The sequence below is a fragment of the Homo sapiens genome, chromosome 3 (assembly GCF_000001405.40).
Source record: "Homo sapiens chromosome 3, GRCh38.p14 Primary Assembly".
In the NCBI taxonomy this organism is placed as follows: Eukaryota; Metazoa; Chordata; class Mammalia; order Primates; family Hominidae; genus Homo; species Homo sapiens.
Window position 1 is genome coordinate 69,232,752 of NC_000003.12, and position 27,649 is coordinate 69,260,400.

Here is a 27,649-nt window from a genome sequence, read left to right on the forward strand (position 1 = left end):
AGGGAGTGCAGGCAGTTAGCACACTGGGCATGCTAGTACTTCCTAGAGAAAACTAAGACCCTTGCTGTCTATGCTTGGTGTGGGGGCATCCTCCATTTGTAGAACAGCTTAAAAAAAAAAAATGCCCAAGCCCCAAAGTTGCAAATTTCACTTTTGTTGTTTGTTTTTTTTTTTTTTTTTGGTAGGGATGAGGTCTCCCTTTGTTGCCCAGGCAGGTTTCAAACCCTTGGGCTCAAGTGATCCTCCCATCTTGGCTTCTCAAAGTACTGGGATTACAGGCATGAACCACCACACCAGCTCCGCATTTCACTTTTCTTCTCCAAGCAAAGCGCTTCCTTACCTGAAACCCAAACCAAAGGTGCATAAAAAATGTATATTAAATATAATATCCAAATGGAAACAGCTACAGAAGCTTCACTTTCTAAACCTAAGCTGTTTAGAAAGTTAACTTGGGGCTGGTTGCAGTGGCTTACACCTGTAATCCCAGCACTTTGGGAGGCGAGATGGATCACTTGAGCCCAGGAGTTCGAGACCAGCCTGGCCAACATGGTGAAACCTTGTCTCTATGAACAATACAGAAAAATTAGTTGGGTGGGGTGGCACACGCCTGTAGTCCCAGGTACTTGGAAGGATGAGTTGGGAGAATCACCTGAGGCCGGGAGTTCGAGGCTGCAATGAGCCACGATCGCCTACTGCACTCCAGCCTGGGTGACAGAGTGAGACCCTGTCTCAAAAAAAAAAAAAAAAAGATTAACTTGGGTCTGGAGTTCTTTTTTCACCTACACATAATTGTAACTCAAAATCCTTATTTCAGAAAATGTGTATGTGGATGTAAAAATGCCATAGTTAAGTGCCTATTTGAACACTCAGTAAAGTCTAAAGCCTGTTATTAAGTGTATATGTACCATACAGCTTACATAACATGAGAAATTAAAAGATCATGACAGGGGCCTCCCAGGATTTGGGCAAGTCATCACAGCCAAGAACTCTATTTAGTACTGTGTCCCAGGCAAACCAAAGATTTACTGTTATTAGGAATGGAGCTAATTGGAAACATTTGCCAGTCTTCTAGTGTTGCCTTGTATAGGCCTTGATGAGAAGTCATTTCTTTGTCTGTGCTTACTAGAAACCTGTGATGACCCATCAAGGTTCTGAACTACACTGAAGAAATGGGACAGGATTAGTGATCATAGCAGCTACAAAAGTTTATTTAGGCCAGGCGTAGTAGCTCATGTCTGTAATCCCAACATTTAGGGAGGCTGGGGCTAGCAGATCACTTGAGGTCAGGAGTTCCAGACCAGCCTGGCCAAATGGTGAAACTCCGTCTCTACTTAAAATACAAAAATTAGCTGGGCCTGGTGGCGCGTGCGTGTAGTCCCAGTTACTCAGGAGGCTGAGGCAGGAGAATTGCTTGCACTGGGAGGTGGAGGCTGCAGTGAGCTGAGATCATGCCACTGCCCTCCAGCCTGGGTGACAGAGTGAGACCCTGTCTCAAAAAAAAAAAAAAAAAAGTGTATTAAATGTCTGTTACATAGGTGTAACAGGTGCCAACTTAACTATCAATCAAACCATTTGAGCTGGATCTTCTATTGAAGGATGACAGATTGCATAAACAAGTAATTATTAAAAAGGATCTTGGTTACTATTAACAAACACCAATTTCCTCAACTAATCTACTGGCACTGACCAAGACCTGGGTGATTAGCAGTTTAAGAGCTTTTCACTGGCTAGCTTGCCTTCAAATTGCCCTTTATTGAAAAAGAATATCATGTTTCTTTCAGTTATTTGTAGAACCTGGCCTTCAATGATGAATTCAGTGTATTATCTGCTGGACTTAACAACTAGAAATTTCTAATAGTAAGTTTCTCTCTACTGATTCCTAGGTAAAGCAATATTAAAGGTGACAAACAAAAGAAAACAGTGATTATCATTGTACCCTCGTACCCTGGCCAGCAGCATCAACATTATCGGATGACTTTCTGGAAAGGCAAATCTCAGGCTCCACCCCAGACCTACTGGATCAGAAAGGCTGAGGGTGGGGCTCAGCAATCTGCTTTTAACTAAGGGCTTAAGAACCACTGCAATAGGATAAACACAACATAAAACAGAGATTTTGGCTAGGTGTGGTGGCTCATGCCTGTAATCCCAGCACTTTGGGAGGCTGAGGCGGGCGGATCACTTGAGATCAAGAGTTCCAGACCAGCCTGGCCAACATGGTGGAACCCCACCTCTACTAAAAATACAAAAAATTAGCCGGGTGTGGTGGTGTGTGCCTGTAGTCCCAGCTACTCAGGAGGCTGAGGCAGGAGAATTGCTTGAACCCAGGAGGCGGAGTTTACAGTGAGCCAATCTCATGCCACTGCACTCCAGCCTGGGTGACAGAGCGAGACCCTGTCTCAAATAATAATAATAATAATAATAATAATAATAATAATAATAATAATAATATTTTCAAGAAAGAAACTGTAATCAACTCCTTAAATTGTAGAGATGGTCAGGGAGCCTGAGCAAAGCTTTTGGGTGGACAGCTCAGGTTTGTTTTAGGAGACTCTAGCAAGTGACCTGACCTAGCAGTGACAAAACATGAGTGCTGTCATCTAATCCCCCAAAAGAAATACTTCTAAAGGGCCAGGCGCAGTGACTCATGCCTGTAATCCCAGCACTTTGGGAGGCAGAGGTGGGTGGATCACCTGAGGTCAAGAGTTCAAGACCAGCCTGGCTTTGAGGTGAAACCCTGTCTCTACTAAAAATACAAAAATCAGCTGGGTGTGGTGGTGGGTGCCTGTAATCCTAGCTACTCAGGAGGCTGACGCAGAAGAATCGCTTGAGCCTGGGAGGCGGAGGTTGCAGTGAGCCCAGACCATGCCACTGTACTCCAGCCTGGACAACAGAGTGAGACTCCATATCAAATTAAAAAAAAGAAAGGAAAAAAAAAAAGAAATACTTCTAAGGGACAACAGCTCTTTCACTGGGTATTACCAGGTGGCAGAGAGTGGGCTAACCCCTTTCTCTACAGGCATATTATGCTATTAACATCAGTGTCCCTATTTCATGGATATGAAAACAGAGTTAAGGGAGATTAAGCAATTTAAACTCACAAAGCAAATACGACTCCAAACCTGTGCTTTAACAACTTTGCCTTACTCCTCCAGGATTCTAGGAAGAGGGGACAGGAAATAGGGAAGGAGCAGAGGAAAGATTTTAACTTTGAGGCTTCAGCATTTATCATTATGGTAGCCACTGATTAATTCCACCAAAATATGTATTGCTTAGGTGATGACAGTCTGCGTTTTTAAACTAGATCAAACTGGATTAACCACATCAAGGATCTGAACATAGATAACAAGACTTAATGTGTTAGCAGTGTTTCTTGAACCACACCAAACCAGAACAAACCAAACAAAAACCATAGCCTAGTTGTCCCTTAGTAGTGAGGACACCAAATTTAGGGTTTTATTGTTGTTGTTATTGTTTTGGTTTTTTTTTTTTTTTTCCGAGATGGAGTCTCGCTCTGTTGCCCAGGCTGGAGTGCAGTGGCACAATCTCAGCTCACTGCAAGCTCCGCCTCCTGGGTTCAACAGATCCTCCTGCCTCAGCCTCCTGAGTAGCTGGGACTATAGGCACCTGCCACGATGCCCGGGTAATTTTTATATGTTTAGTAGAGATGGAGTTTCACCATGTTGGCCAGGCTGGTCTGGAACTCCTGACCTCAAATGATCCGCCCGCCTTGGCCTCCCAAAGTGCTGGGATTACATGCATGAGCCACCGTGCCCGGCCCCAAATTTGGTTTTTGAAAAACACTTTTACATGAGCTGCAAAACCAGACTCCAGTCATTTTCGGCAGAACCTTAAAACAGGGAGTTGCAAACTGCTACAGGTGAGAAGTCCAATATATCAATTAAAGCTCCTTAAACCACACAAGGTATTCCTGAAGCCCCACTTTTTATACTGATTCAAAAAGCTCAGAGTAAGATCTCTACCCTGGATGAGTTATCTCTGTTACTGTTAGGGTATACTAAGGCCTGGGATGGGATGAAGAAAAGAAGAAACAAGCTGACACTTTCATTCACAGTCAATCATATGCAAAAGCAGAAAGCTAGAGCTCAAGTTCACTCAATGCCTAATGCCACTCCTGATTATTGCAAGTTAGTTCCGAAAAACTGATTACAGACTGAGCTAACTGCATAACAGCTAAAAGAAAGAGCCCTCTTCACTTTCTACCCACCCAGACTAAACTTAAAAGAGAGCAGCTCCACCTAGCCGGGTAAGCGAGGTGAATTCATTTGGTCCAACCCCTAAATGCACAGATGAGAGAAACAAGACCCACTGAAGTTTGAAAACTTACCAAAGTTCCCACAGTAGGTGGCAACAGATCTAAAGGACCAGAGGTTTGTTCTCTGGACAACTGCAGGCCGGAGCACAAGAGGAGGAAGAGGAGAGAATTGGAAAGCTAGGGAGGAACGGAAGAGGAGGGAGGGGCCGGGAAAGGAAACACCCAGCTGGCTGTGCCAGCCCTTGCTCTCCTCCCCTCCTAAGCCACAGGGTCTTTCATTTTTGGAATTTCCTCCCTACCTTTAAACCTTTCTTGATTTAAACCTTTCTTGATCAGACCTTAAACCAAGTCAGGTTGCAGCTATTTACAGAGTGAAAAGTGAGAACTGAAAGAATTATATAAGCCTTTCTCCTGGCCTCTGGCCAAATCTAGGGATGCCTCCCACTGTTTCTGTGAGAGGTGGGAAGTTGTTGGCCCATCCTTCATCCTAAGAAGCTCCTTCACAGGGCTACAGGTGTGAGCATGCAAAGAAGGCCTTCATGGGGGTTTAGGTGTGAGCATGCATTTCTAGGCTTCATGCATTTCTAGCGCCTTCATGGGGGTTCAGGTGCGAGCATGCATTTCTACACCATCTCTGGTCCCCAGCTTCCTCAGACCTCTCAGCTTCTCTTTCATAGGATGATAAAAGATATTCTTTGGGCTTTTATTTATGTACTCATTTACTGAGACAGAGTCTCGCTCTGTCATCCAGGCTAGAGTGCAGTGGCGCGATCTCGGCTGACTGCAACCTCTGCCTCCTGGGTTCAAGTGATTCTCCTGCCTCAGCCTCCTAAGTAGCTGGGATTACAGGCACGCACCACCATGCTCGGCTCATTTTTTGTATTTTTACTAGAGACAGGGTTTCACCATGTTGCCCAGGTTGGCCTCAAACTCCTGAGCTCAGGCAATCGGCCGGCGTTGGCCTCCTAAAGTGCCAGGATTACAGGCGTGAGCCACAGCGCCCATCCACTTTGGGCTCTTAAGGTGGCCATCCTAGGCACTTGCTATGTGTGACAAGTGCCTAGGATGCATTTTACTTACACAAACTCATTTAGTCTTCATGGCACCCAAGATGTTGGTGCTCTAATTTACAGATAAGGAAACTGAGATTTAGAAAGATCACCTAGCTGCCCATCATTTTACTAGAGCTAGTACACAGGCAGCCAGTACATACCTAGGAAAAAATCAAAAATACCAACCAACCAATCAGCTCTAGGCCTATGATTTGCAGTAATACGGTTTGGCCTTTAGAACTGCATTCAGTCCCAGGTCTCTCTGTTCCTAGGAGTTTTGTGGTCTTAGATAAACTAACCTTTGTGAGCCTGCATTTCCATATTATAAAAATACAAATAGTGACCTGTTGCATAGGATTCTTGGGTATATTACAATAGAATGCAATGAAGGCACTTGCCTATGTTCAATAAATGTGTTCCTTCCTGGCCAGGTGTGGTAGCTCACGCCTGTAATCCAGGCACTTTGGGAGACTGAGGTGGGCAAACTGCTTGAGCCCAGGAGTTTGAGATCAGCCTAGGCAACACAGTGAAATCTCATCTCTATGGAAAATACAAAAATTAATCAGACGTGGGGTACACACCTGTAGTCCCAGCTACTCGGGAGGCTGAGATGGGAAGGTCACTTATGCCCAGGGGGCACGTGATCTGCAGTGATCCATGATCATGCCACTGCACTCCAGCCAGGATAACAGAGAAAAATCCTGCCTCAAAACAACAACAACAAAAATGTTCCTTCCTTTCTGAAGGTAGCATAATAAACCAAAGATTTTACCAAACACTTTATTCCTACCACTCTCTGCCCAGGCTGGTGGTCGATTATTACTATTGAGAAGAATCCTAAAGGGGTGATCTGGGTTAGAGTTGGCAGATTTAATATATTGGACATACTTATACTAAAAAATTGCTCGTTGTTCATCTGAAATTCCAATTTAACTGGGCGTCCTATATTTTTATTTGCTAAATCTGGCAACTCTAAGGGCTTATAATAAACTGCCTGGGAAAAGAACTTTGAAAGTAACTTGCCAAGTTCCGAGTTGTGAGCAGTTTGGGGCTTGGTTTGACAGAGTCTATTGGCAACCAGTGGAAGCTCAGCCTAGAAACTCACTTTTCCAACATCATGACTGATCCACAGGATTGGTGTCAGCCTTTTATTTTCTCAGCATTCTACCAAAGATGCATCCTGTAGCAGGAAACCTGCTTGTGTTCTGGGAAGTGCAGTGTCCTCTCAGCTAGAATTCCTTTGTCATTACATTTTTGTCTGTGGCCTAACTTGTAACAGGGGACAATTACTCTGCCCATCTGCATGCTTGATGGGGATCAACTGTCAAGCTATTTGTTTTTAGGTCTAAGGAATTTCTAATGAGAATGAAAATGTGATGAAAGATTTTTCTAAACGTCAGCCAGCTCCCTGAGGACTCCGATCATGTCTACTTTGAACCTTTAACTCTCTTAATAATGGGTAGAAGAAATATCATCCATAAGAATGACTTAGGTTGGGAAGCAGGTTAACATGAAAATCTACAAATATTTAAAATAAAAATATTTTATTTCTCTCCTGTTAAATTCATAGAGACAGAAAGTAGAATGGTGGTGGCCATGGACTGCGGGAGGAGTGAATAGGGAGCTGTTTAATGGGTGCAGAGTTTCTGTTTTTCCAAGATGAAAAAGTTCTGGAGATTGGCCGTACAACATAAACACGTCCAGGCGTGGTGGCTCACGCCTGTAATCCCAGTACTTTGGGAAGCTGAGGCGGGTGGATTGCCTCAAGAGTTCGAGACCAGCCTGGCCAACATGGTGAAACCTTGTCTCTACTAAAAATACAAAAAATTAGCCAGGTGTGGTGGTGCGTGCCTGTAATCCCAGCTATTCAGGAGGCTGAGGCAGGAGAATCGCTTGAACCCAAGAGGCGGAGGTTGCAGTGAGCCGAAATCATGCCACTTGCACTCCAGCCTGGGCGACAGAGCAAGACTCTGTCTCAAACACACACACACACACACACACCCAACATAAACATTACTTAACACTACCAAACTCTATTCTTAAAAATGGTTGAGATGATAAATTTTATGTATATTTTACTACAATTTAAAAAAATTTATTCTTAAATCTAGAGTTAGAAAAAGGATACATAGGCCAGGCATGATGGCTCATGCCTGTAATTTTGGGAGGCCGAGGAGGGTGGAACCCAAGGTCAGAAGATCGAGACCATTCTGGCTAACATGGTGAAAACCCATCTCTACTAAAAATACAAAAAATTAGTCGGGCGTGGTGGCATGTGCCTGTAGTCCCAGCTACTTGGGAGGCTGAGGCAGGAGAATTGCTTGAACCCGGGAGGCGGAGGTTGCAGTGAGCCAAGATAGCGCCACTGCACACTCCAGCCTGGACGACAGAGCAAGACTCTGTCTCAAAAAAAAAAAAAAAAAAAAAAAAGAACACGTAAAAGAAAAACAATCAATGCAGATAATGTTTTCCTACAAAAGAATGGAAAGTCAAAGAAATGTGTTTCTCTTCTGGGAAACTTCCTACTAGACAAGTGAAAAATTATTTATGGTCAACTTGAAGCCCCAACTCTTTAATCCTTCTTCCTGTATGTGTGATTCAATGTGTCTTTCCTGATCACACAAAAAAATGGATTAACCGCATTAGCCATCTGAACACAGATAAGAAGACTGTATTGTTATGTGTTATGTTATCACTTAGTGTGTTTCCAGAAACAAACCAAAAGGCCTGGAAATGCTTATCAGCGGGGGAATGTAGAATTCTCCCTCAACAATGTCGTCTCACAGCTCCTGTAGACTCTGGATGGTTTGCACTTTGAGAAGTGGAAGTAGTTCATGTCATGCTACTTTCTATTCCTACCGAATGCCACGCATGCCTGTGTCTCAGCCAGCCGCTACCTGAAGAGGCCAAGTATGCTGAGTTTCATTTCAGGACCAAGTAGCTATGATGGGTGTAACGGCCTGGTCCACTCCAGTGGAGAAAGAAACTGAGAACTCAAATGGGTCAAGAGAGTTACTTCCTGTATAGGACTGATCCTATGTGGTGTTAGTAACTGTCTAAAGATGTATTAAGGTGGGACTTAGGGTTTTTGTGTTCATTTAGTTGCATCAGGTTTTTTTAAGCTGTGAAATGCAAGGGGTTTTGAAATGCAAAATACTTAAGCTGTGAAATGCAGAAGCCTGACTCCTACTCTGATTCTATGGTTCATAGAGTAGAGTGTGTGGTCCAGCAAGAGGCTGAAATAAGAGTGGAAAATGCTGCTTATGTGTCCCCTTCTGGGAGATTCATAGCGCTCATGAGCAGATTGAAAACTTAGCCAAGAGAACTTGGGAAACTTTGTTTAACTTTTAACCAAGTATTGTAGAGAGGAAAATCACTTCTCAAGAGTTTTCACAAAAGTGTTTTGTTGATTCATCAAAGGCCCGACCTGAAATAAGACAAAAACGTTTCATTTCTGTCAAGTAAGCCTTCTTTATTCTGCTGGCCAGGAAGGTAATGATTCTAACAAATTTGTGTTGGGATACAAAAAAAGAAACTGGTTGGGTGCAGTCGCTCACACCTGTAATCCCAGCACTCTTGGGAAGCCGAGGCTGACAGATTTTCTGAGATTCAGGCGCTTGAGACCAGTCTGGCCAACAAGGTAAAACCCCGTCTCTACTAAAAATTAAAAAATTAGCCAGGCATGGTGGCTAATTTCAAGAAGAATTGCTTGAACCCAGGAGGCGGAGTTTGCAGTGAGCTGCGATTGCACCACTGCACTCCAGCCTGGGCAACACAGCGAGGATCCATCTCAAAAAAACAAAACAAAACAAAACAAAACAAAAAAACCCCCAAAAAACAAAAAAGGAAACCTCTAACAGTGGTAAAATGCATGTGGTTTGGAGCCCTAATTTGCCACTCTCTAGCTATGTGACCTAAATAGTAAGCTACTTAACAGCTACAAATCTCAGTTTTCCTATCTATAACATGGGGACAATGACAGTGCCATCAAAGGGTTGCTGTGAGGATTAAACATATTAATAATAGTAACGATGGCAAATATTGTTTATTGAGACAAAGAAATGGTTCCAGAGAGGCTAGGCAAACTACCCACAGGTACATAACAAGTGGCTGGGCCTGGATTTGAACCCAGGCAGTTAAATTCCAAAACTCCTCTCTTCACTACAGCCTTCCCATTGATTCCAGTGGGTACTCAGCATAGCGCCTTGCCCATGGGAGATGATATTTTTATTATTATCATTGACGGTAAAGACTCTGGAAATGAAATTAGATTTTAGAGCTTTAAGTGCTCCAGAGGTGTAATAACTAAGGGGCAAATTTCTTGAAAGTGTTTTTATCCTCCCTTCCTTAACTACTCTCCAGGGCATCCAAAGAAATTCCTTTCCCATGGGAAATAGCTGCATTTTTTTTTTTTTTTTTTTTTTTTTTTTTTTTTTTTTTTTTTTTTGTAGCACAGCTGTAACTTGTGAATATTCCCTTCCCACTTGAAGCTGGGTGTTAATATACTCTCATTCTGACCCAGCACTGAATTGCAAAATGTAGTCACTCACTTTTTCTTACAAGTAGAAGCACCCTAATCACATAGTTACTTGGTAATTTTCACCTCTCAAAATCTTAGGAAAAAAAAAAAAAGGCCGGGCTCGTTGCTCACCTGTAATCTGTAATCCCAGCACTTTGGGAGGCCGAGGATGGTGGATCATGAGGTCAGGAGTTCAACACCAGCCTGGCCAACATGGTGAAACCCCGTCTCTACTAAAAAATACAAAAATTAGCCGGGCGTGGTGGTGGGCACATGTAATCCCAGTTACTCGGGAGGCTGAGGCAGGAGAATCGCTTGAACCCGGATAGCAGAGGGTGCAGTGAGCCGAGATCGCACTACTGCACTCCAGCCTGGGCAACGAGAGTGAAACTCTGTCTCAAAAAAAAAAAAAAAAAAGCTTTGCTTTTACAAACTCATTTGTGGCTGGCAGCTGGGTGATAAAGCCTTGCCTCCTTGCCGTGTCAGCTTTCAGGAATTCTCTGTTTGTCTGTGTTGTGTTACCCAAGTAGCCTGTTATCTTTGCGGTTTAAGGGCTGACTTGGAAATTCAGACTGTCATCTATTTAAAGAAAATGGAAGTCCCCACTCCACTATTTTAATTAACTTTCAGAGAGCAGGGTTTCCTACTGGTTATGATAATGTTAACTTAAAATACTCTGAAGGGAACACGGCAGGAAACAAAATAAAAAGGGAGGATTGCTGTTTTTAAAGGTATTCTAGGAAGAAGAGTTTGAACAAAGCCATGAAGGCAGATAGCATGGGCCATGCGGAGAAAAAATGAAGAGAGGCATGAGCAGATACTAAGGAGTATGCACAGCAGAGAATGGGAGACTAAATGTGTAATGCCAACCAAATATGGCCTTGAATGCCAGGTTGTGCTGGTGTTGGTGGGCAGGTGTCTGTGTGCAATGAGAAATTAAGAGATTTTTAGAAATAAACAATGATCAAATCTATGTCGTAGGAAGGTAGCTGGAAGTTACGCACAGGCAGTAGTGTGTGGTGGAATCAGAACAGATCTGAGAACTCACCAGCAATGTAACAATCTCTTTGGGCTTAAATTTTACATTTATTACTTTGTTCAATGGAGATAATAGCTAATGTGGTAAGACTGAATGAAATCAGACATGTACATTTAAAATAATGCTGTAGGCCAGGTACGGTGGCTCACGCTTGTAATCCCAGCACTTTGGGAGGCCTAGACGGGCAGATCACCTGAGGCCAGGAGTTCGAGACCAGCCTGGCCAACGTGGTGAAACCCCGTCTCTACTAAAAACACAAACAATAGCTGGGCATGGTGGTGCTCATCTGTAATTCCAGCTACTTGGGAGGCTGAGGTAGGAGAATTGCTTGAACCCGGGAGGCGGAGGTTGCTGTGAGCAACCTCACACCACTGCACTCTAGCCTGGGCGACAGAGTGAGATTCCATCTCAAAAAATAATATATAAAATAACACTGTAATACCCAATTATTAGCTCAACACATAATTCACACACACACACTTTTACAGTCAGGCTGAGTGGGAAGGAATGAGGGCTGAGAAAGTTGCGGTGCTGATCAGCAGAAGGAAATCTGTCTGACAGGTGGGAAAAAGATGGGAAAGGAAAGGGGAAATCCTCAGACAGCATGCAAGAGAGAATGGAGCTGTAATTCAAAGGGAGACAATGGAAGAGGAGCTGGTTTGGAGGCTGGGCTGTTGGTGAGGTCAGCTTCGGAAATGCTGAATTCAAGAAAGAGGTGGATATTCACAAGGAGTGGACCAGAGCAGCCTTAAGAATTAGGTGGTCAGTCATTGTTTTTACTGAAAAAGCCACTTTGCCTAGGAAGGTATTTGGGGACATATTTTGGTCAATGTTTGTTTGTTTATCATGTTTTTTGAGACACAGTCTCAATGCCTGTAGTCCCAGCTGCTTGGGAGGTTGAAGCAGGAGAATCTCTTGAACCCAGGAGGTGGAGGTTGCAGTGAGCCAAGATGGCACCATTGCACTTCAGCCTGGGCGACAGAGCGAGACTCTGTTTAAACAAAAATCCCAGCATTTTGGGAGGCTGACGTGGGCGGATCACTGAGGTCAAGAGTCTGAGACCAGCCTGGACAACATGGTGAAAACTTGTCTCTACTAAAAATACAAAAATTAGCCGGGCATGGTTGTATGTGCCTGTAATCCCAGTTACTTGGGAGGCTGAGGCAGGAGAACTGCTTGAACCCAGGAGGTGGAGGTTGCAATGAGCTGCACTCCAGTCTGGATAACAGAGCAAGACTAAAAATAAATACACACAGATGTTCATCACAGCATTATTTATATTAGCTTTATGGGGAAAAAAAGCTAATATAAATAAGGCCATGATGAACATCTTTTTTCCCATTATTTATATGGGAAACAAGTAATATTTGTAACAATAGGGGAGTCCATCATGTCCATCAATTTGGTAAAATAAGATGGATTACAGGAACTGTTTTAAATACTTTACAAATGCAATATTAATTCATTTAATCCTCACAGCAATCCTATGGAGTGTGTATTATAATTGTAAGTCCCATTTTACAGATGAGGAAACTGAGGCTTGGAGATTTTAAGTAATTTGTTCAAGATTACACAGGTAATAAGTAGCCAAGCTGGCATTTGAATCAGGCTGTCTGGTTCCACAGTCTTTGCTCTAACCACTACAACATTGCCTCATGGTATTTTATTTTGCCTGACTTTCTTTGTGTGTGTGTGTGTGTGTGTGTGTGTGTGTGTGTGTTTTTAGACAGAGTCTTGCTCTGTTGCCCAGGCTGGAGTGCAGTGGAACGATCTCTAGCTCAGTGCAAACCTCCACCTCCACCTCCAGGTTCAAGCGATTCTTGTGTCTCAGCCTCCTCAGGAGCTGTTATTACAGATGTGTGCTGCCATGCACAGATAACTTTTGTATTTTTAGTAGAGACAAGGTTTTGCCATGTTGGCCAGGCTAGTCTCAAACTCCTGGCCTCGAGTGATCCGCCTATCTCGGCCTCCTAAAATGCTGGGATTACAGAAGTGAGCCATTGCACCTGGCCTTGGCTGATTTTCTTTTCTTTTTTTTTTTTTTTTTGTGACAGAGTCCCACTCTGTCATCCAGGATGGAGTGCAGTGGCACCACCTTGGCTCACTGCAACCTCCACCTCCTGGGTTCAAGCAATTATCTCGCTTCAGCCTTCCAAGTAGCTGGGACTACAGGCGTCTGCGAACGTGCCAGGCTAATTTGTTTTTTTTTTTTTTTTTTTTTTGAGACAGTTTCACTCTTGTTGCCCAGGCTGGAGTGCAATGGTGTGATCTCGGCTCACCACAACCTCTGCCTCCTGGGTTCAAGAGATTCTCCTTCCTCAGCCTCCCAAGTAGCTGGGATTACAGGCATGTGCCACCATGCCCAGCTAATTTTGTATTTTTAGTAGAAACAGGGTTTCTCCATGTTGGCCAGGCTGGTCTCGAATTCCCGACCTCAGGTGATCCACCTGCCTCGGCCTCCCAAAGTGCTGGGATTATAGGCGTGAGCCACTGTGCTCGGCACCCGGCGCCTGATTTTCTCAGAAGAGTTTTGTAACAAGGCAGGGTGCGATGGCTTGCACCTGTAATCTCGGCGCTTTGGGAGGCCAACATAGGCAGATCAGCTGGGCCCAGGAATTTGAGACCAGCCTGGGTAACATGGTGAATCCCTGTTTCTACAAAAAATACAAAAATTAGCCAGGTGTGATGGTGTGTACCTGTAGTCCCAGCCACTCAGGAGGCTGAGATGAAAGAACTGATTGAGCCAGGAGGTGGAGGTTATAGTGAACTAAGATCATGCCACTGCACACCAGCCTGGGTGAGAGAACAATGCTCTATCTCAAAAATAAACAAAAACAAAATAAAACAAAAGAAAAACAAAGAGGAGTTTTAGAACAAAACTTTGGAGGAAAAACATATCCTCTCTATTCAGGGGAGAAGATCAGATAGGGAGAGCATGGTAATTTGCAAAATGCTCCCACATGTCCTGAAAACCAACCTGCAAAGCCATTGTTTTGATTAACCCCAATTTACAGATGAGGGAACCGAGGCTCAGACAGGATAAGTGGCCACTCAGAGGGATGTTGCCAGTCTGCGTGATTTCCAGTCCCACGCTCTCTCCACTACTTAGTGTAGTTTGGACAATTTCAAAACAGTGTGCGCCACTTCAACCTCGTGATCACTCAGGAAAACCACCAGGAACAAGCTCGAGTGAAGGCAAAGGTCTGGACTGGGCTTGCCCAGAATTAACTCGCCAACCTTGATGTCCTAGGGCTCAAATGTTTGAACAACTGAAGGACTGTCCCTTTTAGGCCTTCCTTTGCCTCAGGCAAGGGATCTTCCCTAAGGAAGGTTTGTGAAATTACCCTTTCTTTTTCTATTCTCCACCTCCCCCATAACTATAGGTTATTACAGCTTCTTCAGACCAACCTTAGTCTCAAAAGTCTCATCAGAGGTAGATAAGAGACCAGATAGGATGATAGTAATAATGAGGATAATAATAACTAAATTAATAATAATAGCCCAAGGGTGTAGATTACTTGCTATAAGCCAGATGTTGCCCTGGGCAACGTTTACATACATTTGATTCTCATGACAGTTTTATGGGAAAGGTACCATTTTACCGATGAGGAAACTGAGGCTCAGAGGGTGTCAGTCACAGCCTTGACTGGGGCTAAGTGGGGAAGGTGGGTTAGCAATCCATTGAGTGTGAGCTTTTGGGCCCTGAAACCCTCATTTACAAATTGACTTTAGAATCACCTCCCGTATGATTTCTTATCCAGGGTTGTTTTTTAAAAATCACCCCCATAAATGACTGTGTTCCTTGCATATCTGATATTCCCAGGAAACGTGGCTTTTCTGGAGAAGACAACAGTAGAGACACAGCAGCTTTTTTCTGAGTCTCACTCCGTCACCCAGGCTGGAGTGCAGTGGCGCGATCTTGGCTCACTGCAACCTTCGCCTCCCAGGTTCAAGCAATTCTCCTGCCTTAGCCTCCTGAGTAGCTGGGATTACAGGTGCCTGCCACCATGCCCAGCTAATTTTCTTTTTTTTGAGACGGAGTCTCGCTCTTTTGCCCAGGCCGGACTGCAGTGGCACTATCTCGGCTCACTGCAAGCTCCACCTCCCGGGTTCACGCCATTCTCCTGCCACAGCTTCCCAAGTAGCTGGGACTACAGGCACCCGCCACCGCACCCAGCTAATTTTTTTGTATTTTTAATAGAGACAGGGTTTCACCGTGTTAGTCAAGATGGTCTCGATCTCCTGACCTTGTGATCTGCCCGCCTCAGCCTCTCAAAGTGCTGGGATTACAGGCGTGAGCCACCGTGCCCGGCCACCCAGCTAATTTTTATATTTGTAGTAGAGACAGGGTTTCACCATGTTGGCCACGCTGGTCTGGAACTCCTGGCCTCAAGTGATCCTCCCTCCTCGGCCTCCCAAAGTGCTGGGATTACAGGCGTGAGCCACCATGCCCGGCCTCAGGCGTGAGCCTTTAATGATACTAATGGTCTGTAAACTACCTTATACTCTTGTTTTTTTTTTTAAACTCCTGCCCCTTTCTTTCCATTAAAAACAACTGGTGTTTGATTTTCATGATTTCTTCAAATTTCTTAACCTAGAAAAATGTAAATACACACACACACACACAAATATATATATATAGAGAGAGCACAAAACAGAACTGGTGGGAGATTGTGGTGAGGAATCATGGTGTTTTAAGTGGCATCCTTGAACATTCTACCAAAGCCGAATGGGAAGATGAGGAGAGTGTTGGGAGTTTCCGAACTGAAGTACAACTCCGTAACTGGAAGTTTTCAAGGTTGGAAGGCATTATTTTGTTAGTCCGTTAAGGGGCACATTATTCAAAGACTTGGCTGGGAATGAGTGCTAGGTGATCTGTAAATAATCTACGAGTAACGTCTACCAGGAGTCGAACATTAACATCGTAGAGGCCAGGCTTTCAAAGGGGTCATTGGCCTACAAAGGGAAGCATTGCCTCCACCCTTTAACTGTTTCTCTACAACTCCAACGATTGCATTAAAAGGACAGAATGGAGCAGGTAGAGGGTGAATTCAAATATAAACACCCTCTGTGGATGTGGCCAGTGAGGCAGTTAGAACCATTAAGTGTCTCCGCAGCAACAATACAACTGTTAGGTCAAGTGTATGAAGGGTGAGGCCCCTTCGGGGCAGCTGTGAAAGAAAGCCCCTATTAATCCCTTAACTAAGCAGCTGATGGATTTAATCTTTTTGTGCATACATTATAACTCTTCGAACACAAGATTATTGTAAGGTTTTTTTTTATCAGCATAAGCTATCAAAGCTTTTTATAGATTTCTTCATCTCACTAATTAACAGATGACAGAAAACAGAACTTTGGAGAGCTTCTGGTTCCATCGCTGTCATTCTGGCTTCAAAAACTGTAAGAAAGCATCATTCCCTGATTCATTCACAAAAAGAATAGGTCTCTATTTGAAGAGCGAAGAGATCTCAGTCTCCTGCCTTACAGATCTACTTTCCTTTGATTTTGTATCCATTGTTATTTAAAATAACCACATAAAATGATTCTTTAGGGTTATTTTGCATAGTAATATCAGAAAAGAAAAGCATTACCTGGTATAATCTCCCTTGGCTTCCTAAAAACAACAAACAAAAACAGAGTTGATCAATATGTATCTTTGTTAAGCTAAATGAGTTTTATCTTGATTACTTTCCCCTCTTAAAGTTCCTGAGTTTTGTTTTGAAGAGTGTTTCTCAGGAATGCTCTCCCTATAGGCATAAGAAGAATTAGGCATTGATAAGAAAACCCTGACTGTCCTGTTAGGAATATTCCTTATTCTTAACAAAAGAAACATATGTATGTGAAAAAGCACAGATAATTATTTCTCACTGTACGTTTTTAAGATCACATGATAAATGCTTTTCATTCAAGTGGCACACTTTTTAGACTGGAGGAAGACCTTTTAAACCACAATACAGGTAAACCAACACATACTATTTGTTTTCCCTTTACTTTTTAAACCAGCATGGAAACAGACTAATGCCTTTAAGAACTAAAGGGCTCTTTTACTGGACCACAAGAAAATGTATACAAAAGTTACTAAATTTAAATGAAAATTACAGCTGTTGTAACAACTGCTGCCTCCCAAATTCAAGTATCCCAGAGCTCTCTTCCAGGAATATGGGTTTAATTCTTCTCCTTCAGAGCAGTCTAAATTTCATTTTTCTTTGAGACTCACAATATCACATTGTAGCTCATGCAAACTATTCTAAAGCAGAAGACGGTGGCGCACATTTTTCATCGGCAAACAACTAACTGGCTTAAAAATCCAACAAACACTGGCCCATGCAAAAGTTTCAGAGTTGCAGGCAGTTAACAAAAACGAACAAACACAAGGGAGCTGCTAAGAGGCAGTTTGTCCAATCTTACCTGTAAAATAAACGCTGCTAACTTGAAGATGGTTTCGCTCTCTACTTCGATTTGCCCCTGTTGATGGAAAAGGAAAGCATCATTGAACATGGGGCTGTCCTAGATTGTAGCAAATGGCTCTGAAGTTGAGGAAGCTGTCACAGCTTGGCACCTCCAGTTTACGATCAAATGCAGATCATACCATTGCAGGGGAAAGTGGGGGGTGTGGAGAGACTCATTGAGGGTTAAGGCGAAACCACTGTGTGTGCGTGTGTGTGTGTGTGTGTGTGTGTGTGTCTATTTTAAATAGCTGTGGTGACGGATTATGTGTAGAGAGCAGTATTCAGGAAGAAACGGGAATGACTTTGAGGCTAAACATTCAGAAAACTTCTAAATGAAAAATTTTTATCTCTGCAAGTTCATTTTTAAGCACTCTGCAGAATTTCCTAGATTCATTTGTTGAGTGTTTTCCTGGGATAATTTTTTTCCCCTGTGTTACAGCATGGTTATTTCAGTATACACACAATGTAAATATTATTAAAAATATAAATTCACTTCTGTGTCAATGACACATTGTTGAGTTCATATTTGTACTATTACAGATAAAATGTGAGGCCTTAAAAATCAGTTACAGCAAATGCTTTGAAGACTAAAATTCTGTTGATTTATATTGAAGTTCGAGGAACTCTAATTTATCAGTTTTCCTTTTTTTTTTTTTTTTTTATCATTCAAAACCCCAAAGAAAAATTGGAGCTCTGGGCCTTGGTAAAGAATGCTTTTTCAGGGCCTGGCACAGTGGCTCATGCCCATAATCCCAGTACTCTGGGAGGCTGAGGGAGAAGGATCACTTGAGGCCAGGAGTTTGAGACCAGCTTGGGCAACATAGAGAGACCTCATCTCTACCAAAAAAGAAAAAAGCTTTTTCAGTAGACCAGTAGGGATGCATAGATATGTGCAGAAAGGGTATAGCTCTATCAATAATATTCATATGCACCTTTATATTTTTTAAATTGCGATGATACATGAAATATTATTACTAAACCATATTATAACAATGAATGGTATAGAGGTATCTTTATTTTAAAAAAAGGTTTTAGTGGTAACGTTAGCTTGTAAGTTTTAACAAATGCAAAAAAATTCCACGTAACTCCATTATTGCCTAAGTCCTGTATAATTAGTACTTGAAAGGGCACAGTATTTAAGAACATGGAATTCCTGGAAATTGCCCTGCATTCTTTCTTCCTCCCTTCCACCTCTTGAATCTGAGCTGGAGTGTTTCCTAGTTATACCAAGTGCATCAATGGGGAGATTAAGTCTTTTTAAAGTAAATATACAATAGACAGGTTCACAGAGGTAGTTAGGCTCAGTGAGGATTTCTGAAAGGATTGTGCTTTTCTTTCAGGTTTCCACGTGATTTGAAGAGGGTTCTCAAAAAACAAACAATAATTATTTTAAAACCCATAAAATAAAATGAACAAATAAAAACCCCAGGGTGTTACAATGCCAGCAGTGATAATTATTCATGTTTCCCTTATATTACAAGATGAAAACAAGTTAATTTCATCCTCTAACACACAGGCCGCCCTTCTGAAACCTGAGGAGAGGATCTGCTTCAAAGTTTATTGCCTCAAAAGCTGACAGGCCCAGAGCCTTGGAATTCAAAGCTCGCCCATAATCTCTAGAAACAGATTACAAAATCAAAGGGAAGCCAGGTTGATTGCAGAAATCAACTGCCCTCTGCCTTTCAGGCAGGAGACGATGGTTTTCCAATCTGGTGAAAGATGATGAGGCGGTTCATCCAACAGGTGAGGTGGGTGTTGATAAAGATTAAATTTTAGAAAGGCTACATTCCTTAGTTCAAAGAAAAAGAAACTCACGGCAAGGGAGGAGGGCTAACAGGAGAACTCAAAAACATCACTGGGTTTGAAATTAGGCAGGAACTCAAAGTTAAAGTCAAATGTGTCTTAAAATCTTAGAGAAGAAAAAATTACTTAAGATGTTAAAAACGCTAAAGATGAATAAAGTAAATTGAAAATTACTGCCAACTCCTCTGACATCCCACGACCCACCTTTGCATCATCAGAACCTCAGACAAGTCACCTGAAAAATATTTCAGACACCAACTTTTCAATTTATTAAATGGAAGTTCAGCAGACAGAAAAACCTACAGCAGATATTCTTAGGGAAGCAGCTAAATAACTTTCTACTTTAGAAGGGTTATTAAGTATTAAAAATGCTGAAATGAGGAACTGAGCAAGACAAGTACCAGGCTCAGACAGCTCCAGAAGAGTGGGGAGCAAATATCCAACTCACCTGTGGACTTTTCCACCTACACAAGTGGCCCCAATACAGTTCTGGTGGAGGAGGGTGACGGTGCGGTGAAGGAGTGGGCTCTAGCAAAATCTTGTTCCAGGAAGAGAAGAGAACGCATGCTTTGGCAAAGGCCCATATTCTTTTAAAACCCTCAGCCCCTACCTCACCTTCCATTGAACAATCACTGTTCTAGAAATCCCGGGCAACAAATTTTGAGTCCTAATACTGACTGCCAAAGTTCTTTGACTCATTCACGGAGTTTACTAAACAATACATTATTCAGGTGTAACACTATTTGCCCAGTTCTCTGCAATTTCATTTGATGAAATTTAATTAAGACTTAAAAAGAACTCCAGGATTTCAAGCCTGAAGTGTAAAAGCTGTTTTGGAAGTGCCGTCTGCCCAGGACAGAACATTGCTTTTACTCTCAACCATGGCAACAGAGGTAACATTATAGGTACCGGGCAAGCCAACACTTGAGAGAAGGATCTCCTCAAAGAGAGAGGTAACGGGACACTTCAGTGAGTTTCCATGACTGTCATGGATAAAAAAAGAGAACCAGAGAAGTGAGTCAGATGATGTGGCTGAATGCACAAAGGTAATATGAACAGTATCAAGTCCTGGTGCCACACCCTCATGGCTAATTTAACTGGGTTATAAATTCAATCAATAGGTCACCGGGTTCAGGTGCCACACAGGACATCTCATTTTTGTCTTTGGCTTCTTGGCTCAGTTGACCAAGACACCAGGCTAATGAGGTGAATTCTAGGTTTTGATTACCAAGTAGGAGAACAGAATCAAAGATAGTTTTGGGGCTCGCAAGGGAAATTAGTGAAAATATGATTCCTATTTTTTTTTTTTTTTTTTTTTGCAGATGATGGGAGGCAATGAGGATCAGGAAGATGAAGTGTAATGTCCAATCCCCTTGAACATGGCAACTCTGGACTCCCTGTCCAGTGCTCTTTCCACTCTACCATGCACTAGTTAACTTTTTATGACTGCAGTGCAAATTCTTATCAGGAATCCTCCAAAGGTATGTTTTTGGTAAAAACTGGAAACAGGTGAGGCTGTGGAAAAATGAATCCAAAGGCTATCTCCACTGTTGCTGGGACTGTATGTTATCAACATACACTCTCAAAGTAGAGTGGGAAAATATTTCTTAAGACTGATTCTGCTCTTCCCATATGGATCAGTACTTCATGGAAACTTATCTGTGCTACAGCAATGAATATTAATACTGTGGTCATAAATACTTAGGATTTAGACATACTTGAGAAACTACTGGGACACCTCAGTTTGTTTCCAAGCCTACTGCTAATTATCTATTTTAAGTAGAAGTCTTTAAAATTAACTTGTAGAACACCAACAAATAAATGTAGAAGAAATGAAAAAGAAAGAAAATTACCCTTGCACCTCTCTAGTACTAATTGATTCAGGCAATAATCTTCAATAAATAAAAACAGTTTATTGAAGTCTGGCTCAGGGGCTCACACCCATAATCCCAGCACTTTGGGAGGCTGAGGTGGGGGCACTGCTTGAGCTCAGGAGTTTGAGATCACGCACCATAGCGAAACCCTGCTCTACAAAATATCAAAAATTAGCCAGGTGTGGTGGCTCATGTCTATATTCCCACTACTAGGGAGGCTGAGGTGGGAGGATGGCTTGAGCCTGGGATGTCGAAGCTGCAGTGTGCCATGATCATGCCACTGCACTTCAACCTGGGCAACAGAGCAAGACCCTGTCTCAAAAACAAAAAGTAAAAAACTCACACCTTTTTTTTTTCTTTTTTAGACGGAGTCTCATACTGTTGCCCAGGCTGGAGTGCAGTGGTATGATCTTGGCTCACCACAACCTCCGCCTCCCGAGTTCAAGCGATTCTCCTGCCTCAGCCTCCCAAGTAGCTGGGATTACAGGGGCCCACTACCATGCCCGGCTAATTTTTGTATTTTTTTTTAGTAGAGATGAGGTTTCACCATGTTGGCCAGGCTGGTCTCAAACTCCTGACCTCAGGTGATCCATCTACCTCAGCCTCCCGAAGTGCTTAGATTACAGGCGTGAGCCACCGTACCCAGCCAAAACCCACAACTTTTGAGTGAAAGTTTGATGAGAAACAGGACAGGATATTAATGTAATCACAAATACCTCTCCATAGATTACTTATTAATCACAAAAGGGAAAACAGTAACTCTTCCAAGGGGAAGCTGACACATACCATCTTAACCCTGTGATGAGATATTGCCAATAATGGGATAGATCAGCTTCATGAGCCTCCTGATCATAAGGTATGCATGGAGGATTACACAACCCCACCTATCCAAGAAATGAAAATGTTTCACAACTGGAAACTGGGGGCTGGGAAAGGTCTGATTTGTAGCATTAGTTGATGTCGGCAGTGTAAATACTCCCACCATGGCTGATTTCAGGTTACCAATATAACATCACAGAACACAGAGGTGGAAAGAGATGTGAGAATTAGCTCTCAAGAGATGGTACAAGCTAGCTCCAGCACACCATGGTGTGGCATTCCTGTCAAAAATGCATTACTAGATCCAGTCATGAGGAACCATGAGACAGATCCAATCTGAGGGATATTCTGTAAAACATCTGGCTCATGCTCTTCCAAAATGCCAATATGATGAATATGAAAAAAGAGGTTCCAACGTACAGGAGACTGAAGAATCGTAACAACTAAGTGCAGCATGCTATCCCAGATCAGGAGGAAATATTACAAGGACGTTACTGGGACAACTGGACTGTATATTAAATAAATAGTAGAGGTTCAATGTTAAATTTTCTGAATGTGATCATTATAATTAGGTCATATATGGGATGTCCTTGATTTTAGGAAATATACAATGAAAATATTTAGGGATAAACAGGTATGATGTCTGTAACTTACTCTCAAGTGGGTCAAAAAATTTACATATGAAAGGAGAAAGTGCAAATGGAGCCAAATGTTAAAAACTGGTAAATTTGGCTTGGCAGACATACTAACAGCTTTTGGTACTATTCTTTCAACTCTTCTGTAAGTTTGAAATTGTCTCATAATAAAAGTTTGAAGCCGGGTCCAGTGAGTGGTATATGCCTGTAGTCCTAGCTACTCAGGAGGTGGAGTGGGGAGGATCGCTTGAGCCCAGGAATTCAAGGCTGCAGTGAGCTGTGATTGTGCCACTGCACTCCAGCTTGGGTGACAAAGCAAGACCCCATCTCTTAAAAAAAAAGTTTGCAAAAAGAAAAATATAGACATATATTCCTGGAGTGGTGGATATCTGTTTTGACTGGCAAGTACCCTTCTCTTTTTTTGAGCAGACAATTCCATTATCTTGGATAATTACTTCTTTCCCTATGGCTCTAGTAGAAACACATCATCAATTTTTTGGGGGAGGATGGAAACTGCTCCAAGGACCCACTCCAGGATTTTCTGAATTAGACCAAAGGGAAGAAAGTTCTCTCTCTCTTTCTCTGGGGGCAAAGTTGGGAAGATGTGATCTAGAGGAAATCGATGACCACAGATGGAAAGGAGCTACTTGATGTTGGTAGTCAACTGTATCCACTGCTGAGCAGAGTCAGACTTCAAAGCTTTTACAGTTCAAAAATTGACAAGAATGATACTCAAGCAGGGTGCTCTGGCTTGCACCTGTAGTCCCAGCTACTCAGAAGACTGAGGTGGGAGGATTGCTTGAGCCAAGGAGTCCGAGGCTGCTGTGAGCTGTGATTGCGCCACTGGACTCCAGCCTGGGTGACACGGTGAGACCTGTCCTTAAAAAAAATAAAAGGTTGGGGGGGAGGGACTATTTGGATGCTGTCTAGGATGCTCTCACTTTGGTTTACTGCCAAGCCAACAAACAGTGCAAAGAGCAGATGTGATAAGGACAGAAATGAGTGAGTGCATGCAGCTGCCTGGAGTTTAACTCACATCTCATTTCTCCTGAGGATAGATCTACATGGAGGTAGGAATATGCTGGGTCAGACAAATCCACACTGTTTTTGTTTGTTTGTTTTTGAGATGGAGTCTCACTCTGCCTCACAGGCTGGAGTGCAGTGGCATAATTTCAGCTCACTGCAACCTCTGCTGCCCGGGTTCAAGTGATCCTCTCACCTCAGCCTCCTGATCAACTGGGATTACAAGCACACGCTACCACACCCAGTTGATTTTCGTATTTTTAGTAGAGATGGGGTTTCACCATGTTGGCCAGGCTGGTCTCGAACTCCTGACTTCAAGTGATTCGCCTGCCTTGGCCTCCCAAAGTGCTGGGATTACAGGTGTGAGCCATGGCCCCTGGCCACCCGCACTGGTTTTTATGCAATTAGGCTGGTGGTGGAGGAGCCATGCCAACACTGAAGACCTCTACTACCCTACAAGGCAATTATTCCTAAGCCATAGAAACATATTCCTCTGTGCTGATGCCTATTTTCCAGGAGTTACTCTGCCCCCTAGAAAGCCAGGCCATAGCTACTACATTTGCACCCCACTCCTACTCACATCCTTTGGGTACATCATTTTCTCCCTTTTTGTCCAAGCTAGTTGTTAGAGGTAATCTTTATGGGGGATGGTCTCAGTGATATAATGCCCATTCATTCTTCTAGATCAGGGTTTTATAACCTCAGCACAACTGATATTTTGAGTGAGAGAATTCTTTATTGTGAGGCTGCCCTGGGCATTATAAGGTGGTAGGCAGCATCCCTGGCCTCTACTCACTAGGTGCCAATAGCAGCCTACCCCTGGCTGTGACAACTAAAAACATCTGTAGACACCACCAGATGTCCTCAGAATGGCCCCTACTTGAGAACCACTTCTCTAGGTTCTCTAAGTTTTATTCTTGGGTTAGGCTAGAATAATCAGAAACCTATATAAAGCATAAGGGCTCATCCAGGTAAAATTGCCTTTTTGGAACTGTATTCTGGCATTACTCCACTGGCTTATGTTGAAAAACAATATAAGTAACAACCCTCAGAACTCATTATTTTAATACTTCCAGTGTGTTGTTGAGAACACTGTTTATTACACAATATGATATCCCATTGGGAGGACCCATGGAAGAAGTTTCTGATTTTTCATATCGATATTGACTGTGCCCCTTCTGAGCAGCTCCTTTCTTTTTACCTTAATGACCACTCTGAGTTATGTAAGTGATTGTAACTCCCTCTTTACTGTGGCTCTTAAGAGAAGTTGAATTATAAATTTGTGGGCTAAATGCTTTATACTAACCATGCTAAATATTTTATACTAACCTTAATCTTGGCAGCATCTAGTTATTTCTACCTTTATTTTCTTATTTATAAATAACACTAATTTCATCACTTACTATATTTTAATATGTTCAGGATTGGCTTTTTTTTTTCTTGAGACAGAGTCTCTCTCTGTCACCCAGGCTGGAATGCAGTGGTGCTGTCCTGGCTCACTGCAGTCTCGACTTCCCAGGCTCAAGCAATTCTCCCACCTCAGCCTCCTGAGTAGCCGGGACTACAGGTGTGTATCACCATGCCTGGCTAATTTTTGTTTTGTTTTTGAGATGGAGTCTCACTCTGTCACCCAGGCTGGAGTGCAATGGTGCGATCTCAGCTCACTGCAGCCTCTGCCTCCTGGGTTCAAGCAATTATCCTGCCTCAGCCTCCCTAATAACTGGGACTACAGGTGCGTGCCACCACACCAGGCTATTTTTTTTTGTATTTTTAGTAGAGACAGAGTTTTGCCATGTGGCCAGGCTGGTCTCAAACTCCTGACCTCAAGTGATCTGCTTGCCTCAGCCTCCCAAAGTGCTGGGATTACAGGTGTGAGCCACCGTGCCTGGCCATAATTATTGTATTTTTTATAGAGACAGGGTTTTGCCATGTTGCCCAGGTTGGTCTTGAACTCCTGGGCTCAAGCAATCCTCCTCCCTCAGCTTCCCAAAGTGCTGGGGTTACAGGCGTGAGCCACTGCGCCCAGCCAGTATATTCAGTATTTAATTTTTTTTATTGAGGTACATACAATAAAATGCACAAGTCTCAGTGTACAGCTCAATACATTTTGACATGTGTTTGTTACTCATGTAATCATCACCCAGAACAAGATAGCAAAATCAAACATTTTCACTAATGTTTTCATCTTAGGGAAACATATATATTTCTATAAACTATATCAAATCAATACAATTATTTTGCTAGTTAAAAAAGTATAAATCCTGAAAAACAATTTCAATTTGCAGTTTTTTTTTCAATATCACCTTTACTGGTTTGAGCAATTTAAAAATTACTAACCAATTTGAATATTTCCCTTGCAAATGCATATTATTTACTATTACCCATATGTGAAATGAGCCTTTGTTTACTTGCCTATTTGAGAACCTCTGTTTGATCTGAGTTGCGTATACATTACTAATATTATTAACTCTCTGTCTTATCTACTAGGTACAAATTATGTCCTTCAATCTGTTCTCCTTTGACATGCCCTTCTCCTAGTCTGTGAAGTCTGATTGGACTGGGACCTATCTCCCCACTGGAAGAACCTGTGGGGCCATGAGAAAGTTATTTTTTCTGAAACTCAGCTCCTCATCTGCAAAATAGAAGATAATGTTAACTTTACCAAGTTGTTTGGAGCAGCAGTCCTCAGCCTTTTTGGCACCAGGGACCAGTTTTGTAGAAGACAATTTTCCCACGGACCAGGGTTGGGGGATGGTTTCGGGATAATTCAAGTACATTACATTTATTGTACACCTTATTTCTATTATTTTTACATTAATGAAATAATCATACAATTCACCATAATGTAGAATCAGTGGGAGCCCTGAGCTTGTTTTCCCGTAACTAGACCATCCCACCTGGGGGTGATGGGAGACAGCGACGGATCATCTGGCACTAGATTCTCAAAAGGAGTAGGCAACCTAGATTCCGTGCATGTGCAGTTCACAATAGGGTTTATGCCCCTACGAGAATCTAATGCTGCTGCTGATCTGACAGGAGGCAGAGCTCAGGCATTGATGCGAGTGATTGGGAGCGGCTGTAAATACAGATGAAGCTTCTCTCGTTCACCCACCCGCTGCTCATCTCCTGCTGTGTGGCCCGGTTCCTAACAGGCCATGGACTGGTAGCAGCCTGTGGCCTGGGGGTTGGGGACCCCTGGTATAAAAGCATTCAATAAAGGATGAATGTAAAGCATTTGTCACAAAGCCTAGCATCCAAAGACTCTCTTAATGTTATTCTCCACACTAATGTTCGCCATGTTGCTTCTTAAATTCATATGTCTGTTTTTAGATTCTCTCCTTTGCTCTGGGTCACTGTTCAAGTTTTATATAGTTCCATAACATTTAATCACTGTTCATTACAATATGTGTCAATATCTGATAGGATAAGTGCTTTAATTTTCCATATGAATCTTTGACATCCTCTTATTTTCAAAGAAATTTTAAATTGATCTTGTCAGGTTTAAAAAAGAAATAATAATTTGTCTTCCTCTTTGCAACCATAGCACATTTCTATTGAAATCACTTTTTAAAATTTGTTTTAGAAATGGGGTCACCCAGGCTAATGTGGAGTGGTGCAATCACTACTTACTGTAACATCAAATTCATGTGCTCAAGAGATCCTTTGGCCACAGCCTCCTGAGTAGGTGGGACTACAGGCACTGGCCACCATGCCTGGCTAATGAAATCGCTTTATAGTGATCATAAAGTTTTGTGATATACCTACAAATATCACACTCGTCCTATGTGAAGATTAATATTCAGTATTTTACATTTTGCTACACAAATGTATAGCAAACGCTTTTTTTTCATCCTATTGAGAGGTGACAACGTGCTAGCAGCCCTCGCTCGCTCTCGGTGCCTCCTTGGCCTCGGTGTCCACTCTGGTCTCGCTTGAGGAGCCCTTAAGCCCACCGCTGCACTGTAGGAGCCCCTCTCTGGGTTGGCTGAGGCCAGAGCTGGCTCCCTCTGCTTGCGGGGAGGTGTGGAGGGAGAGGCGCCAGCGGGAACCAGGGCTGTGCACCGTGTTCGCGAGTTGGCGAGTCAGCACGAGTTCCGGGTGGGCGTGGGCTCGGCAGCCTCTGCACCCGGAGCGGCTGGTCGTCGCCGCCAGCCCTGGGCAGT

At 42.9% G+C, this 27,649-nt stretch overlaps 1 protein-coding gene across 15 annotated transcripts in view, besides 3 other annotated features; it reads right to left on the minus strand.

Annotated features, from left to right (window-relative positions):
- Positions 1–27,649, minus strand: part of FRMD4B (FERM domain containing 4B) — a 373,805-nt gene that overhangs the window by 63,970 nt on the left and 282,186 nt on the right. For 13 of the 15 annotated variants that reach the window (XM_017005993.2, XM_047447767.1, XM_047447771.1 and 10 more), the window contains 2 exons: positions 17,292–17,348; positions 16,475–16,497 (listed from right to left, as the gene is read on the minus strand). In XM_017005993.2, the coding sequence (XP_016861482.1) occupies positions 16,475–16,497; positions 17,292–17,348 (80 nt within the window). Of the gene's footprint in view, positions 1–4,345; positions 4,436–16,474; positions 16,498–17,291; positions 17,413–27,649 lie in introns of those variants that run through there. The other 2 variants (XM_047447772.1, XM_017005995.2) reach the window with 2 other exon arrangements.
- Positions 2,275–2,776: an enhancer, noted in NCBI's record as "H3K4me1 hESC enhancer chr3:69284177-69284678 (GRCh37/hg19 assembly coordinates)". NCBI's record gives its function as "activates a minimal SCP1, AML or CMV promoter by ChIP-STARR-seq in primed H9 embryonic stem cells {active_cell/tissue: H9 hESC(primed)}" and the evidence as "EXISTENCE:reporter gene assay evidence [ECO:0000049][PMID:30033119]".
- Positions 2,777–3,276: an enhancer, noted in NCBI's record as "H3K4me1 hESC enhancer chr3:69284679-69285178 (GRCh37/hg19 assembly coordinates)". NCBI's record gives its function as "activates a minimal SCP1, AML or CMV promoter by ChIP-STARR-seq in primed H9 embryonic stem cells {active_cell/tissue: H9 hESC(primed)}" and the evidence as "EXISTENCE:reporter gene assay evidence [ECO:0000049][PMID:30033119]".
- Positions 16,204–16,728: an enhancer, noted in NCBI's record as "NANOG hESC enhancer chr3:69298106-69298630 (GRCh37/hg19 assembly coordinates)". NCBI's record gives its function as "activates a minimal SCP1, AML or CMV promoter by ChIP-STARR-seq in naive H9 embryonic stem cells {active_cell/tissue: H9 hESC(naive)}" and the evidence as "EXISTENCE:reporter gene assay evidence [ECO:0000049][PMID:30033119]".